The 15,585-nt window shown below is 48.6% G+C and overlaps 1 protein-coding gene across 15 annotated transcripts, besides 8 other annotated features; it reads left to right on the top strand.

The window, feature by feature from the left end:
* Positions 820–1,107: a mobile genetic element.
* Positions 820–3,691: a biological region, named in NCBI's record as "GSDMB 5' regulatory region". NCBI's record gives its function as "regulatory_interactions: GSDMB".
* Positions 976–1,338: a promoter, noted in NCBI's record as "-351 to +12 cellular promoter". NCBI's record gives the evidence for it as "EXISTENCE:reporter gene assay evidence [ECO:0000049][PMID:20410667]".
* Positions 984–997: a transcriptional cis regulatory region, noted in NCBI's record as "IKZF1 site". NCBI's record gives its function as "contributes to promoter activity" and the evidence as "EXISTENCE:site-directed mutagenesis evidence [ECO:0005528][PMID:20410667]".
* On the top strand, positions 1,250–15,290 carry GSDMB (gasdermin B). 15 transcript variants are annotated; one of them, NR_170970.1, is made up of 11 exons: positions 1,250–1,351; positions 2,564–2,803; positions 7,388–7,559; positions 9,961–10,129; positions 10,843–10,927; positions 11,684–11,709; positions 12,898–12,924; positions 13,614–13,774; positions 13,900–14,038; positions 14,389–14,459; positions 14,921–15,290. NR_170970.1 is itself a non-coding variant. In NM_001165958.2 (11 exons), exons 2-11 carry the CDS (start codon positions 2,569–2,571, stop codon positions 15,071–15,073), a joined length of 1,251 nt encoding a protein of 416 aa, NP_001159430.1. In that variant the 5' UTR covers positions 1,250–1,351; positions 2,555–2,568; the 3' UTR covers positions 15,074–15,290. The 15 variants fall into 15 exon arrangements, 10 of the variants coding, with proteins under 10 accessions (NP_001159430.1, NP_001375351.1, NP_001159431.1 ...); NM_001165958.2 differs by having other exon boundaries at positions 2,555–2,803; positions 11,671–11,709; NR_170973.1 differs by having other exon boundaries at positions 1,250–2,803.
* Positions 2,021–2,650: a promoter, noted in NCBI's record as "630 bp LTR promoter". NCBI's record gives the evidence for it as "EXISTENCE:reporter gene assay evidence [ECO:0000049][PMID:16625320]".
* Positions 2,062–2,470: a promoter, noted in NCBI's record as "42-451 LTR promoter". NCBI's record gives the evidence for it as "EXISTENCE:reporter gene assay evidence [ECO:0000049][PMID:18478180]".
* Positions 2,062–2,471: a mobile genetic element.
* Positions 3,202–3,691: an enhancer, noted in NCBI's record as "+496 to +989; PvuII/BstXI fragment". NCBI's record gives its function as "drives expression in gastric cancer cells" and the evidence as "EXISTENCE:reporter gene assay evidence [ECO:0000049][PMID:26016667]".

Raw genomic sequence — 15,585 nt, 5'->3', positions numbered from 1 at the left:
AGACTGAGTCTTGCTCTGTTGCCCAGGCTGGAGTGCAGTGGCACCATCTTGGCTCACTGCAACCTCCGCCTCCCAGGTTCAAGCAATTCTCATGCCTCAGCCTCCTGAGTAGCTGGGATTACAGGTGTGTGCCAAAACATCTGGCTAATTTTTTTTTTTTTTTTTTTTTTGGTAGAGACGGGGTTTCGCCATGTTGGCCAGGCTGGTCTTGAACTCCTGGCCTCAAGTGATCTGCCTGCTTCGGCCTCTGAAAGTGTTGGGATTACAGGCATGAACCACCACGCCTGGCCTGTCATCCCTTCAAATGTTCTTTCAGAACTGAGGCATGCAGAGGCTGGAAGACAGGCTGGGCTCACCGGGGTGGTTATCTCTGAGAGAGGACATGGGTGAGGTCAGAGGCCTCTCCCTGGAGAAGGAGGTAGGTGGAGAAGCCAGATGGCATCCAGATAAGGAAGACCAGCATCTCCTTGAGAGTGTACACGGGAGCACGAGATGGGGAGGGAGGCTGAGTGCTCCTTACAGGCCCACCCTGTTGCCTCCAGGTGTTAGCTGCTGTTGTCCTGGGTCTTCAGTGTTGACCGTCGCATGGCATTTGGGCAGCTGGTTCTGCTGGGTTATGGTCCTCATGTCCCTGGCACAGACACAGCCATTGCCTGCTGGCACTTGATACCTACTCATATTCCATTTCTCTATTCCAAACACACTGGATTGCATGGCCCAGGGCGCCACGGTGTGCACCATTGTCTGGCCCACACTCACCTAGAATACATACCAGGATCTCCTACCCACTCCTTAGGTACAAGAAGAAGAAGGGGTTCTGGCCGGGCATGGTGGCTCACACCTGTAATCCCAGCACTTTGAGAGGCCGAGGTGGGTGGGTCACAAGGTCAGGAGATTGAGACCATCCTGGCTAACACGGTGAAACCCCGTCTCTACTAAAAAACACACACAAAAAAATTAGCTGGGCGTGGTGGCAGGCACCTGTAGTCCCAGCTACTCGGGAGGCTGAGGCAGGAGAATGGCGTGAACTTGGGAGGCGGAGCTTGCAGTGAGCCGAGATTGCGCCATTGCACTCCAGCCTCGGCGATAGAGCAAGACTCCGTCTCAAAAAAAAAAAAAAAAGGGGGGTTCTGGCCTTAATCTGCCTCCAGCTCAGTTATAAGGTGGCTTATCTAAAGGCTTGGGAGGTGGGGCACCCAGCCCTACCCACCCGTCCAGGAAGTTCCACACCTGGACAACTTTCAGTTTCATTATTTTAGCTTCCTGAGATTCAGAGGCCAGGAACTGTGCAGAGATCTGTGGGGATTCTCACAACTTCCATTTCTGGTGAACAGCTGAGGTCAGAGAGGAGGTGGGTACCACTTGAGATGGGCCTGTGGTTCCCGGGTACTGTCTTTCCAGACACCTAGAATTCCCAGGTTGGTAGTGAACTGAGAGTCAACCACCATGATGGGGCCAGAGACAGAGGAGGAAGCAGTGAGTGGATAAGTGCCTGTGCTGGGCAGAAGGGATATAGGGGAAGGTGGCCAAAGGTAGGATGGGGAAGTGGATCCCAGGAAGCTTTTGTTTCTTCTGAGGCCAATTTACCACCACCTCATTGGGAAATTGTTGGTAGGGAGGCACCCATCCAATTGCCTTGCAGAATACAGCAAGGCAGGGAGCCCAAGAATCAGAGCCAAGGGAAGAAACGACCAGTTGAGGTTAGTAATGTGAAGTCTGGCAACCGTGCCCGTCATTCCTCCCTGGTTCCTCTGTTCATCAACGTTGGGGCTAGTCTGGCTGGGGCATGGTGGGCCTGCCTTTCCATCCCTTGGGCCCCTTGGAACAAGGGGGCAACTCTGCTGTGGGAGATGTAGAAAATGGGTCTCACTTTCTCTATTTGGGGCAATAGCTGCTACTTTTTTCCTCCAGATGGGTACCATGAGGGGCAGAGGAGAATCTGGGATCTGTGATGTTTAGCCCTCTTTACTGAGTCATGGCTGCCTCACGTTCTAGAAGTAAGGCAGGCAAATCATTCCAGGTACTGATTGTCCTGGAACCTTTGGCTCTTCCTTGACCTCATGTCACGTGCGTCCATGTGAAGAGAGTCCACGAAACGGGCTTTATATGAGCAACAAGGCTGGGTGCAGGCAAGCTGAGTCCAAAAAAGGGGTCAGCAAAGGGTGGTGGCATTATCATTAGTTCTTATATGTTTGGGATAGGCTTACAAAGTACATTCTCAAGGGTGGAGAAATATTACAAAGTACCTTCTTAAGGGCAGGGGAGAATATTACAAAGTACCTTCTTAAGGGCGGCGGCGGGGAGACTATATTGTATCAGGGTGGGGCAGGAACAAATCACAATGGTGGAATGTCATCAGTTAAGGCTATTTTCATTTCTTTTGTGGATCTTCAGTTGCTTCAGGCCATCTGGATGTATACATGCAGGTCACAGGGAATATGATGGCTTAGCTTGGGTTCAGAGGCCTGACACCTCAGGCTGCCAAATGTGGAAGATTTAAATACTTGAACCAATACCCTCCTCCCAAAAACTGAAATTGGCTTCTGTTTCTGAGTTGGTCCAGGCGCAATGTTCAGCGTATTTGAGGAAATCACAAGAATTGTAGTTAAGGAGATGGATGCTGGAGGGGATATGATTGCCGTTAGAAGCCTTGTTGATGCTGATAGATTCCGCTGCTTCCATCTGGTGGGGGAGAAGAGAACTTTCTTTGGATGCCGGCACTACACAACAGGCCTCACCCTGATGGACATTCTGGACACAGATGGGGACAAGTGGTTAGATGAACTGGATTCTGGGCTCCAAGGTCAGTATAAGGTAGATGACAGGTGGCCAGCCAGGAGGCCTTGACCGTTTGTACTCCATCTCCTTCTCAATTCCCCATTGTTATCAACCAATCAACAACGAAACTGTGGGATTTGTACACATCCACACACCTTAATTTAAGAAATGCACGGAAGAGCTGCATGGTGGGAGGAGAGTGGGAGAAGTGGAGATTTATTTCCACTGGAAACCGTTCCTAAATGGTCTTCCTTTTCCATTTTTTCCCTTGTAAAATAATCTGCTTTTAATTTAGCGAGCTCTTCTCATGTGTTTATCATTTAAATGAATAAGTAAATGAGGGCAGTTTGCTTACTGGTTAAGAAAGGATGCAGGCTTTAGGGCTGGAAGCACCTGGTTTCAAAGCCTGGCTCTGCCTCTTATCAGCTGCGTAACCTTTGGACAAGTTGTTTTATTGCTCTAAGTTTCAGTTTCCTCCTGTGTCAACTCTAGAGGACTGTTGTAAGAATCAAGTGAGGGATGGGTGCGGTGGCTCACTCCTGTAATCCCAGCACTTTGGGAGGCCGAGGTGGGCGGATCACGAGGTCAGGAGATCGAGACCATCCTGGCTAACACAGTGAAACCCCGTCTCTGCTTAAAAAAAAAAAATACAAAAAATTAGCCAGGCGTGGTGGCATGCGCCTGTAGTCCTGGCTACTCAGGAGGCTGAGGCAAGAGAATTGCTTGAACCCGGGAGGTGCAGGTTGCCGTGAGCTGAGATCACGCCACTGCACTCCAGCCTGGGAGACAAAGCAAGCCTCTGTCTCAAAAAAAAAAAAAAAAAAAATCAAATGAGAACAAATTACGTGAATCATTTATCACAGTGCCTGCCACAAAAGGAGCACCCAATAAAAGTTATCTCCCAGGTCGGTGGTGATTCTTATTATCCTTTCATGTTCCTTGGCTATCAAGACTGAAGGGGAAGTTTCTGATGAGCAGAAATCCCTAAGGTATTGAGGGAATTTATGGAAGAGTCAATTATTCCAACCCCCTGCCTCTGATCTCAGTTATTCCTGGGGTACTTGGGTTTCAGAAGCCCCAGGGTTAAGTGTTGAACTCTCACTTGGAGCCCAAAGTGGAATATGGTGAGGAGTTCATTATATTTCATAATGTGAAAAAATATTTCATAATATGAACAATAGCAAGGCGCTCATAGCTCAGACCTCTCTGATACAGTCCATTTCTTTTTATGAGGTCTCATGCCAAGAGACGGAAAAGAGCTCTAACAGCCCTGAGCAGCTTTAGAGTATTACAGTGTGCCAGGAACTGCTTTAAGTGACCAAGAGCAGTACCCAGATTACTTGGAGGTGGTGGACCTTTCCACAAGCAGAGTTTCGTTAAGCAAGCAAGGGGCTTTTGGAGAAATTTCAGATTCGCATCTTTCAAAGACTGAGTCAATTCTCTGAAAAGTAAATTGCTAAGAGCCAATTTGCTAAAAGTCAGCTCTCAAAAAAAAAAAAAAAAATCAGTTTGCCAAATGATCAATTCACTGAAAATGGAAAAATACTTTAACCCAGAACTAGGATGTTTTGCCACAATAATATTACTCCCCAGGGACAGGGCAAAGTTTAAGTCTGGGAAAAAAAAATTGACTAAGTCAGTCAACTTCCTTTAAGGAAAAGCTCATCTGTGTGCATACAAAATTCGGAGGCAGAGGTGAAACCAAACTTAAAAAGAAAATCCTTACAATGATGGGAATTGGTAATTTGAATTGATTTTTAGCTTGGTCTGCTCCCTATTTAAATGGGTTATTTTGTAACTGTATAATGCTGATGGTGCAGTTAAAGTGTGCATAGGGCTGGGCACAGTGGCTCGCGCCTGTAATCCCAGCACTTTGGGAGACTGAGGCGGGTGGATCACTTGAGGTCAGGAGTTCAAGTCTGGCCTGGCCAACATGGCGAAACCCTGTCTCTACTAAAAATACAAAAATTAGCTGGGCATGATGGCGCATGCCTGTAATCCCAGCACTTTGGGAGGCTGAGGCGGGCGGATCACTTGAGGCCAGGAGTTCGAGACCAGCCTGGCCAACATGGCAAAACCCTGTCTTTACTAAAAATACAAAAATTAGCTGGGCGTGGTGTCGCATGCCTGTAATCCCAGCTACTCGGGAGGCTGAGGCAGGAGAATTGCTTGAACCTGGGAGGTGGAGGTTGCACAGTGAGCCATGATTATACCACTGCACTCCAGCCTGGCGACAAAGCAAGACTCCGTCTCAAAAAAAAACAAAAAAAAAAGTGTGCATAGGATTTTGTGTTTGTTATTAAAGTCCATACTTTATTCACATTAACTTTTTTTTTTTTTTTTTTGAGATGGAGTGTCGCTCTATTGCCCAGGCTGGAGAGCAGTGGCGCGATCTCGGCTCACTGCAACCTTCACCTCTAGGTTCAAGTGGTTCTCCTGCCTCAGCCTCCCGAGTAGCTGGGATTATAGGTGCCTGCCACCACACCTGGCAAATTTTTTGTATTTTTAGTAGAGACAAGGTTTCACCATGTTGGCCAGGCTGGTCTTGAACTCCTGACCTCAGGTGATCCGCCCGCCTTGGCCTCCCAAAGTGCTGGGATTACAGGTGTGAGCCGCTGCACCCAGCCCATGTTATCTTAGTTTTGACCTAGTGTCCTTTTTCTATTCCAGAATCCCATCCAGGATCCTACATTACATTTCGTTGTCATGTCTCCTTAGGCTCCTCTTGGCTGTGACAGTTTCTCAGACTTTACCTGTTTGGGATAATCTTAGCAGTTTTGAGCAGTACTGGTCAGGGATACTGTAGAACGTCCCTCTGTTGGAATTTGGCTGATGTTTTTTCTCATGGTTAGACTGGGTTCTGGGTCTCGGGGAGGAAGACCACAGAGGTAAAGGACCATTCCTATTACATCACATCAGGGGTACGTACTGTCAACATGACCTATCACTGTTGATGTTGACCTTGATCACTTGGCTGAGGTAATGTTTGTCAGGTTTCTCTACCAGAAGTTACTCTTTTTCCTCTTCTTCATATAGTACTCTTTGTGCACATAGTTTTTATTTTTCTTTTTCTCTCTGATATTTTTCTTTTCTTTTACACTGCTCAAGAAGCAAATGGTCCCTAAGACATTAGTGTCTCATGTACACACAAATAGTGATTTCAGTCACTGTTTCTAATTCTGTCACATTTCCACCAGTTCCAAAATGGATTTGTCTTTGGAAATCCAGCCCTGCCTCCAAAACCTAGCAGTGGGAGCTCTCCCTCCCCTGTAGGTTCCCATCTGGGAGGTTGGAGACAAAGGCACGCAGCCCCTTCGGCATGCCCACACATCCTCCACGAACCTGGGGTGGCAACTGACTCAGAACCAAGGCCCTTATTAGTGCCTGATCAATCAGGGCCGAGTCCATGCGTGTTTGTGACTTTCCAGGGTTGCCTCACTTCATACTTGTGTGGTTCATACAAACAACAGCGACAGAACTGCTTTTATTGGAGATGGAGTCTCGCTGTCGCCCAGGCTGGAGTGCAGTGGCTTGATCTTGGCTCACTGCAGTCTTTGCTTCTGCCTCCCAGGTTCAAGCGATTCTCCTGCCTCGGCCTCCCAAGTAGCTGGAATTACAGGCATGTGCCACCACCCCCGACTAATTTGGTAGAGATGGGGTTTCACCATGTTGGCCAGGTTGGTCTCCAACTCCTGACCTCAAGTGATCTACCCACCTCAGCCTCCCAAAGTGCTGGGATTACAGGCGTGAGCCACCCCACCGTGCCCACCCAGAACTGCTTAATTTTTATTTCCCAATTGGCTGGGGCTCCTACTTCTTTAGCTTTACTTTTCTTTGTCTTGTTTCAGCCTACAAGACTGGCTTACAATTATTAAGCAGTTAGAATGTATGCCAGGCACTTGGTTAAGTGCTTAACTACATCATTATATTTAATTTCTTCATTTCTTTTCTTTTCCTTTCCTTTTCTTTTTCTTGTTTTGTTTTGTTTTGTTTTGAGGCAGAGAGGCAGAGTGTCACTCTCCTCCAGGCTGGAGTGCAGTGGTGTGATCTCAGCTCACTGCAACCTCCGCCTCCTGGGTTCAAGCGATTCTCATGCCTCAGCCTCTCAAGTAGCTGTGATTACAGGCACACACCACCAGGCCTGGCTACTTTTTGTATTTTTTAGTAGAGACGGGGTTTCACCATATTGGCCAGGCTGGTCTCGAACTCCTGACCTCAAGTGATCTGCCTGCCACAGCCTCCCAAAGTTCTGGGATTACAGGCGTGAGCCACTGTGCCCAGCCCTAATTTCCCTAAATATAGGAAGTAGACATTAGTAATATTCTCCTACTATAGATGAAGAAACAGATTCAAAGAGGTTAAGTGACTTACCCAAGGTCATGTGGTAAGAAGGTGGAGGAGTGGGCTCAAATCTGGGATCCTGTGACCCCAAGGTAACTGTGCTTCTGGTGAGAACAGCATTTCCTGGACAGCCACAGCTGTGGCGCTCCCTCAGAAGGGAGGGGGATGGTGGCACGGAACCCAGGATGGGGCTGCCCCAGGGAGGGTGTTTTGGAGAGAGATCTTTTGGGGGTCTGCTCCAGAGTGACCTTTATCATTCTCTTTCCAGGTCAAAAGGCTGAGTTTCAAATTCTGGATAATGTAGACTCAACGGGAGAGTTGATAGTGAGATTACCCAAAGAAATAACAATTTCAGGCAGTTTCCAGGGCTTCCACCATCAGAAAATCAAGATATCGGAGAACCGGATATCCCAGCAGTATCTGGCTACCCTTGAAAACAGGTGAGGTTGGAGTTGGGCAGCAGGGAAGGAGGGGAAGAAGCCCATCTTGGGCACCAAGGGATTCAAGGGTGGCAGACCGGCTCTTTTTAAAATTTATTTATTTTTATTTTTCTTTTCCCTGCTTTTCATGAGCTTTGTGGGGGACTGGCTCTCTAGGGCAGCCTCTCGCTCTCTACTTCCAGGATTCCCTCAGCCCTCCCCTTTACGCAAGCACGCCTTCCTCTTCTCTGCCTCCAGAAGCCTTCTCATTCACCCAGGAGCAGTCTCCAGGAAGCCTTCTGATGCCCCCAATTCACTCATATCCCTGCTGTCCCCCAGGATGGTTAATTCCTCTGACTTGGACAAACCTGGTTGTTTTTTTTTTGTTTGGTTTTTGTTTTGTTTTTTTTTGAGACGGAGTCTCGCTCTGTCGGCCAGGCTAGAGTGCAATGGCATGATCTCGGCTCACTGCAACCTCCACCTCCAAACCTGGTGGTTTAAGAGGCACTCTCCTTTGCTCTCCTCTGCTCTCCTGCACTGAGCTGCCCACATCAGTATTTTGTGCTTGTTTCCCTCTGCCTTGTGGGCAAGCCAGTGGCTTCCATGTTCGTCTTTCCCACTGGACTGGAAGCAACTTGTGACAAGGGACTGACTTTACTAACCTCTCTGTATTGACCCCAAGCACACAGTAGGTACTGAGTGAAAGAGAGCTGAAGTGAAGCACGAGGAAAGCAAAGAACCCCTTGGAGGATGTTTCCTGCATGGAGTACAGCCACCCCACCCCAGCAGGGTGGCACCGATCCAGTGCCACAGAGGTTCTGGTAGCTGGTGGGCAGGTGCTTCCAATTCAAGAGGACATCACTAGCCATCCCCTCAGCAATAGTTCTGTTGTTGTTTTCTTCAGCTGGGATTGTTGGAGATTGAGGAGTAGCTCAGGGGAAGGTGACCCACAGTTTTCCTGGCCTTGCTCTCCTTGAGTGGAGCGGGTACCTTTTTTCTTTTCCTTTTCCTTTTTTTTTTTTTGAGATGGAGTTTCACTTTTGTTGCCCAGGCTGGAGTGCAATGGTACATTCTTGGCTCACTGCAACCTCTGCCTCCTGGATTCAAGAGATTCTTCTGCCTCAACCTCCCGAGGAGCTGGGACTACAGGTGCCCGCCACCACGCCTAGCTAATTTTTGTATTTTTGGTAGAGACAGGGTTTCATTCACCCTATTGGCCAGGGTTTTTTGGAGAGAGATCTGGTCTCGAACTCCTGACCTCAGGTGATCCACCTGCCTTGGCCTCCCAAAGTGCTGGGATTACAGGTGTGAGCCACCATGCCCATGCCACCCTTTTTTATTAATAAATTAAAAACAAAGGCTTACAATAAAATTTTACTGGTCCTTTGAATTACCCCTCCCTACCACAGTATTGCTGGGGAGAGGCCTTCAGAATTGTTCTAAGAGAGCTCGGTGTTTTCTATTATAGAATGCTTGTTTGTCAGGTGAGGGTATTGGTATCTGTATGTGGGGTGGGGCACTGGATAGGTAGGGGAAAGTCATCGGAGGCAGGGACCCATGTCTTGAGGGCCTTTTGATTGCAAATAGAAACTCCATCAGACTGTTTTAGGTCTCAACATGAGTTTCCCCCAGCGGGAATGGAATCTGATGCTTCATGAGCCTAAGGGCAGATGATGCAGCTGGCTCCAGGGACCAGCGCAAGGAGCTGGAGCCCCTTGTCAGAGAAGAGGGTGTCTTGGGCTTCACAGATGCCTATCTCAGTGTCACGGGAAGGGCACTCTCTTTGGACTTACACTGACCAGGGTTTGAATCCCAGCTCTACACTTACTAGCTGTGTGACCTTGGACCACTCACAACCTGTCACTAAGCCTCAGTATCTTTACATGGAAAGTGGACGTAATTCTGCCTACCATCATAGGATTGTGAAGGTTAAGTGGAAAAGCGTGGCTCACAGCTGGCACATTGTAATCTTCCATAAATGCTGGTGAATTCTTGCCCCACTTTGTTTTTATTTATTTGTTTTGAGGTGGAGTCTTGCTCTGTTGCCCAGGCTGGAGTGCAATGGTGCAGTCTTGGCTCACTGCAACCTCCGCCTCCCGGGTTCAAGTGATTCTCCTGTCTCAGCCTCCTGAGTAGCTGGGATTACAGATGTGTGCCTGGTGATCCACTCACCTCAGCCTCCCAAAATGCTGGGATTACAGGCGATAGCCACCGTACCTGGCCTCTCACCCTACTTTGTACCCCACCCCTACCTCCACCCCGAGGTGGGTAAAGTGAACTGCGATGGGGTGCTGTGTTCCTTGGTTTTCCAGTCTCAGAAGCGATTAATCTTCAATAGGAGCTGGCTCACAGAGAGGGAAAAGAGTCAGTGGGAGGTAAGGCCCTGAGATCCTTAACTCTCATCTCTCTCCACTCTCTCCAGGAAGCTGAAGAGGGAACTACCCTTTTCATTCCGATCAATTAATACGAGAGAAAACCTGTATCTGGTGACAGAAACTCTGGAGACGGTAAAGGAGGAAACCCTGAAAAGCGACCGGCAATATAAATTTTGGAGCCAGATCTCTCAGGGCCATCTCAGCTATAAACACAAGGTTAGGATCCTGGGAGGCAGGGACTGTGGAGGCCAGTGTTGGCCCACACCCCGCAGGTCAAGGCGATGCCAGCCTTAGACTCTTCCTTCACTCCTCTCCGAGCAGCCCTGCTGCTCTTGGCCACCTTGCCCCAAGAAAGGGTGGGTGGCATTGCCCAGTCCTTCCCTTGTTACTCTCTAGCGGTGCCCTCTTTTCATTTGCATTTTCTTTCTTTCTTTTTTAAATAGAGATGAGGTCTTGCATGTTGTCCAGGCTGGTCTCAAACTCCTGGGCTCAAGCAATCCACCCACCTCGGCCTCCCAAAGTGCTGGGATTACAGGTGTGAGCCACGCACCCAGCCTTCATTTTCTTTGTACATTTCCCATGGTTCATCATTACACAGGTGTATTTTTGCTTGTTTATTGTCTGTCTCCTTTCTAGGAGGTAGGAGGACAGGAGCCATGGTGCCTAGAACAAAGCAGCTCCTCAGTAAACATTTGTTGAATGAACAGTGGCAACAAGATGAGTTTTGGCATCAGACGTGGGTTCAAATTTCAGCTCTGCCACTGTTTTTAGCTGTGAGACTGTCTCACCTGCTGACCTCTGAGAGCCTCAGTTTTCTCGTCTATAAAATGGGGATACAAATGACTGCCTCACAGGATTGTTTGGGAGATCAGGCAAGATAATGATGTAGAAACACCTGGGGATCCGTCAATGTGAGCTCCTTTTTCTAGGGCCAAAGGGAAGTGACCATCCCCCCAAATCGGGTCCTGAGCTATCGAGTAAAGCAGCTTGTCTTCCCCAACAAGGAGACGATGAGTAAGCAAAGGCAGATGGAGAACAGGATGGGGGGCCCTAAACACACCAGTGAGGTGGGGGGTGGGATTCAACCAGGCTCTGTCAGCCTAGGGTGGGTGGCTGGTGAGCTTGGAGGTTGGGGAGGGGTCCAGGGAAAAGGGTGGGTTCAGCACTAGGAAGGACTGAGGCTCCATGCTCTGACCTGGGGACCTGGACCCGCTGACCCAGGATTTGCCTGAACATGACATAAGAGTCATTAACTCCTCTCCCAGTCTCCAAATAGAATAATTGTCTTTTTTGGCTGGACGTGGTGGCTCACGCCTGTAATCCCAGCACTTTGGGAGGCCAAGGTGGGCGGATCACCTGAGATCAGGAGTTCGAGACCAGCCTAGCCAACATGGTGAAACCCTGTCTCTACTAAAAATATAAATATTAGCTGGGTGTGGTGGTATGCGCCTGTAATCCCAGCTACTTGGGAGGCTGAGGCAGGAGAATTGCTTGAACCTGGGAAGTGGAGGTTGCAGTGAGCCGAGATCTCACCATTGCACTCCAGCCTAGGCAACAAGAGCAAAACTCCATCTCAAAAACAAAAAACAAAAAACAAAAAACAAAAACAAAAACAAAAAACAGTTGTCTTTTTTTTTTTTTTTTTTTGATTGGAGGCTGGTATAGGGATTGAGAGGGACTGGAGAAAGGGAACTTACAGAGTGATAACTGGTCTCTCCAATAACTTGTTTTTTCCTCCCTTTTTGGTGCTGGTTTAGATATTCATTTCAGGGGCAAAACAAAATCCTTTCCAGAAGGTGAGTGAGCTGCTGGGCTTCCCGTTCGTCATTTCAGAATGGGCAAAGACACTATTTTTAAAAATGGAATTACAGAGTGGTTAGGTCCGAGGATGTGGTAAGACGCACCCACAGGTGGGAACCATGGCAAGCGCAGGGGAAAAATTAGCCTGTTGAAGAGTCTGGATTGCACATCGGACTAGGGTTTCCAGGCTGCTCCTAGGACAACTTCGTGCTGGCAGTCAGCTGGATCCTGAGCTTACAGCCCTCCCTGAAGTCTTGTTGGCCTAGGAAGCACAATTAAATGACTTGGCCAGTTCCAGCAGGACAGCACTGGCTGTGAAAAGGGTCCTGGACTGGAGTCAGGCAGTCTCAGGGTCTAGTCCCACCCTGCCACTCACTAGCTCTACAGCCTCCCAAGTCACAGTTTTCCTGACTTTATTTTAATTTAATTTAATTTAATTTTTTTGAGACAGAGTCTTGCTCTGTCGCCCAGGCTGGAGTGCAGTGGTGTGATCTCAGCTCACTGCAACCTCTACCTCCTGGGTTCAAGCGATTCTCCTGCCTCAGCCTCCCAAGTAGCTGGGAATACAGGTGCCCTCCACCACGCCAAGTTAAGTTTGGTTTTTTTTGTTTTTCTTTTTTTTGTATTTTTAGTAGAGACAGGGTTTCACTATATGTTGGCAGGCTGCTCTCAAACTCCTGAACTCAGGTGATCCACCCACTGCAGCCTCCCAAAGTGCTGGGATTACAGGCGTGAGCCACCATGCCCAGCCTTTCCTGACTTTAAACTAAAGGAGTGAGACTAGAAGGTCCCTGTGATTCTGAATTATGTGGCTTCCTCTGGAATTTCTAGGTTTTCCCCTTGATCCCAGCAGGGTTGTACTGCCTAAGAGAGCTTGGAAAGGGATAGAGAAGTCTGACCCAAATTTGCGGAGCGACTGAGTGTATGCTGCCCCCTTTCTGGGCCTTGGCTTCTTCCTCAATCATCTAGGCACAGTCCTATGACTGCCTGTTTTTGAGGATGTGGGAAGGGTCTGCAAATACAGTGCTTTCCCATTGACACACGCTGGTGAGGATGCAGGCTCCCTGGCACCAGCAGTGAGGGCTCAGATTGCAAGAGTAAAAACTTCCATCACTGGGAAGAGAAGTCTGCAGGGGACTGGAGGTGATCTGAAGATTCTGAAATAACTCTTCCTCTCTCTGCAGAGAAGGATGGTGCTTCATCCTGTTTAGGTAAGGGTGATAGCCAAGTGTGTTCAGGGTGGCTGCACCAACCCACCCTGAGTCCATGTGGCTCAAGACTGCTGCTCAGGTGGGGTCAGCTGAGTGGGTAGGAAGTCGGGAGGCACTGCCTAGCAGGTTTCAACTTTAGTCTGGAGGCTGCATCTGTCTCCTCTAAACACAGTGGTTCTCATTGGTTATACCCCAAAATCACACCAGGAAACTTTAAAACTAGTGACGACTGAGTCCCGTCTCCAGAAACTCTGACTTAATTGTGGGGGTGTGGCCTGGACATCAGGATTTGTAATAACTCCTCAGGTGATTCTCATGTAGTCAAGGTTGAGAACCACTGCTTTAACTTTCTCCAAATCCTAATTACTTCTAGTGTGGCCTGAGGACTGCACTTTGAATGGCAAGGGCCAAATAACCAAGTTTTTGTTTTTTTCCAGGAAGTGGAGAAGAATTTGGGGTTGGGACTAGACTGGGGGTGAGCTGGGGAGATGGAAGATGGAAGTGGGGTCAGTGGGAGGCAATGATGGTAGGTATCTTGGAAGAAGGATGCTTAATTTTAACACGGAAAGACTGGAAGAAGGGAAGATACAAAGAGGTGGTCTCCAGAAGACAGTCAGACAAATAACAGAGCCTTAGAAATAAAACCTTTTGGGCTGGGTGGCCCAGGTTCTCAATTGCTGCCTCTACAGGAAAGTCTTTGGGTTCGGAGGATTCCAGAAACATGAAGGAGAAGTTGGAGGACATGGAGAGTGTCCTCAAGGACCTGACAGAGGAGAAGAGAAAAGATGTGCTAAACTCCCTCGCTAAGTGCCTCGGCAAGGAGGATATTCGGCAGGATCTAGAGCAAAGAGTAAGGGACCCTAAGAAAGCCTTGGGGCAGAGAGAGATAGGAGCCAGAGGGGATGGCAGTTGGCACAGTGAGGATAATCTGCTATGGTGAGACTGCTGCTCATCTCCCACACTTCCTGGCCCTAGGTATCTGAGGTCCTGATTTCCGGGGAGCTACACATGGAGGACCCAGACAAGCCTCTCCTAAGCAGCCTTTTTAATGCTGCTGGGGTCTTGGTAGAAGCGCGTGCAAAAGCCATTCTGGACTTCCTGGATGCCCTGCTAGGTGAGGAAGGGTCTCGCTGTAGGCTGGGGTGGAGGAAGTGTGAGCAGAGAGGCCTGTGGGGAGTCACATCTTGGGAGGAGGGGCTGCATGTTGCTCTTCACAGTTTATGGGGGGCACTCCTTCATGTCTTCCTCAGGCCAGGCATTGAGGGGCTGGTTCCTCGTCTGTGACTCCTGCAGGCCAAGAGGGAAGCAGGAGTCACAGCAGAGGCCTGTTTGGAGTAAGTCTCATCTAGCACTCCCAGGGGCTCTCTGGAACCTTTTGATGATACATGTTCTGGGTGTGATCAGCCACTGAGGCCCTGTCCCACCATATATCTCTCCTTTTTACCACTCTTTCTTTGCCCCCAGAGCTGTCTGAAGAGCAGCAGTTTGTGGCTGAGGCCCTGGAGAAGGGGACCCTTCCTCTGTTGAAGGACCAGGTGAGACAGCCTGGGCTGAGGGCCATGGTCATAGTGGAAGGGAATGCCCATATTCTCAAGGGACCCAGAAGTCCCAGGGTACAGCCCCTTCTTATTCCATAGTTTTCTGCCGGCTCACATCCATGCAGCTGGTTTGTGACAATTCCCTGGACAGAGAGTTGCCAGAACAATTTGTGGTGGGTTCTTTAGGCTCTGTTTTTTATCTGTGGGCAAGAGAGGGCTGCAAATTGGTTAGTCCCAGGACAGCAGCTGGTATGATCTTGAGTTCCCATGCAGACTGACTAGCAGAGCCTGCCACTATGTTGAGAGAGTATGAAGCTCTCCGGGCTCTGCAGGAAAGAGTGCCATGATGGATTATTACGTCTGCCTATCAGCTCAGCAGCAAGGAGTGTGGCCAAATATTTGCCATTTCTGGTATATCGTTGTTCCTAGCTGTTACAATCTGGGGGGTTTCCTTCCAGGTGAAATCTGTCATGGAGCAGAACTGGGATGAGCTGGCCAGCAGTCCTCCTGACATGGACTATGACCCTGAGGCACGAATTCTCTGTGCGCTGTATGTTGTTGTCTCTATCCTGCTGGAGCTGGCTGAGGGGCCTACCTCTGTCTCTTCCTAACTACAAAAGCCCTTTCTCCCCACAAGCCTCTGGGTTTTCCCTTTACCAGTCTGTCCTCACTGCCATCGCCACTACCATCCTGTCACCAGTGGGACCTCTTTAAAACAAGCAGCCAACCATTCTTTGATGTATCCCATTCGCTCCATGTTAACATCCAAAACCAGCCTGGATTTCATACATGGACTTCTGATTAAAAGTGGCAGGTTGTGCATGTTAATTTTGTCTTTTGAAGCCTCACTAAATGACAGTAAAGCAATAGAAAAACTTTGTATAAACCTACAAGGATAGAAAGAATGCAGCAGCAGATAAGAAACTTTAACACATCTTTGGAAGCTAGAAAGCAATGAAAGGAGTGCAGGCTGGCAGGTGTGGGACTGAGGGGTAGACAGGAGATTGCTGTTTTTATCATCAGGCTTTTATTTATTTATTTATTTATTTACTTATTTATTTATTTATTTATTTATTTTTGAGACAGCTTGTTGCCTAGGCTGGAGTGCAATGGCGTGATCTCG

Source organism: Homo sapiens, chromosome 17, assembly GCF_000001405.40.
Source record: "Homo sapiens chromosome 17, GRCh38.p14 Primary Assembly".
Taxonomy (NCBI): Eukaryota; Metazoa; Chordata; class Mammalia; order Primates; family Hominidae; genus Homo; species Homo sapiens.
Note: the sequence above shows the minus strand (reverse complement) of the source record. Positions and strands in the feature narration are given on the sequence as shown.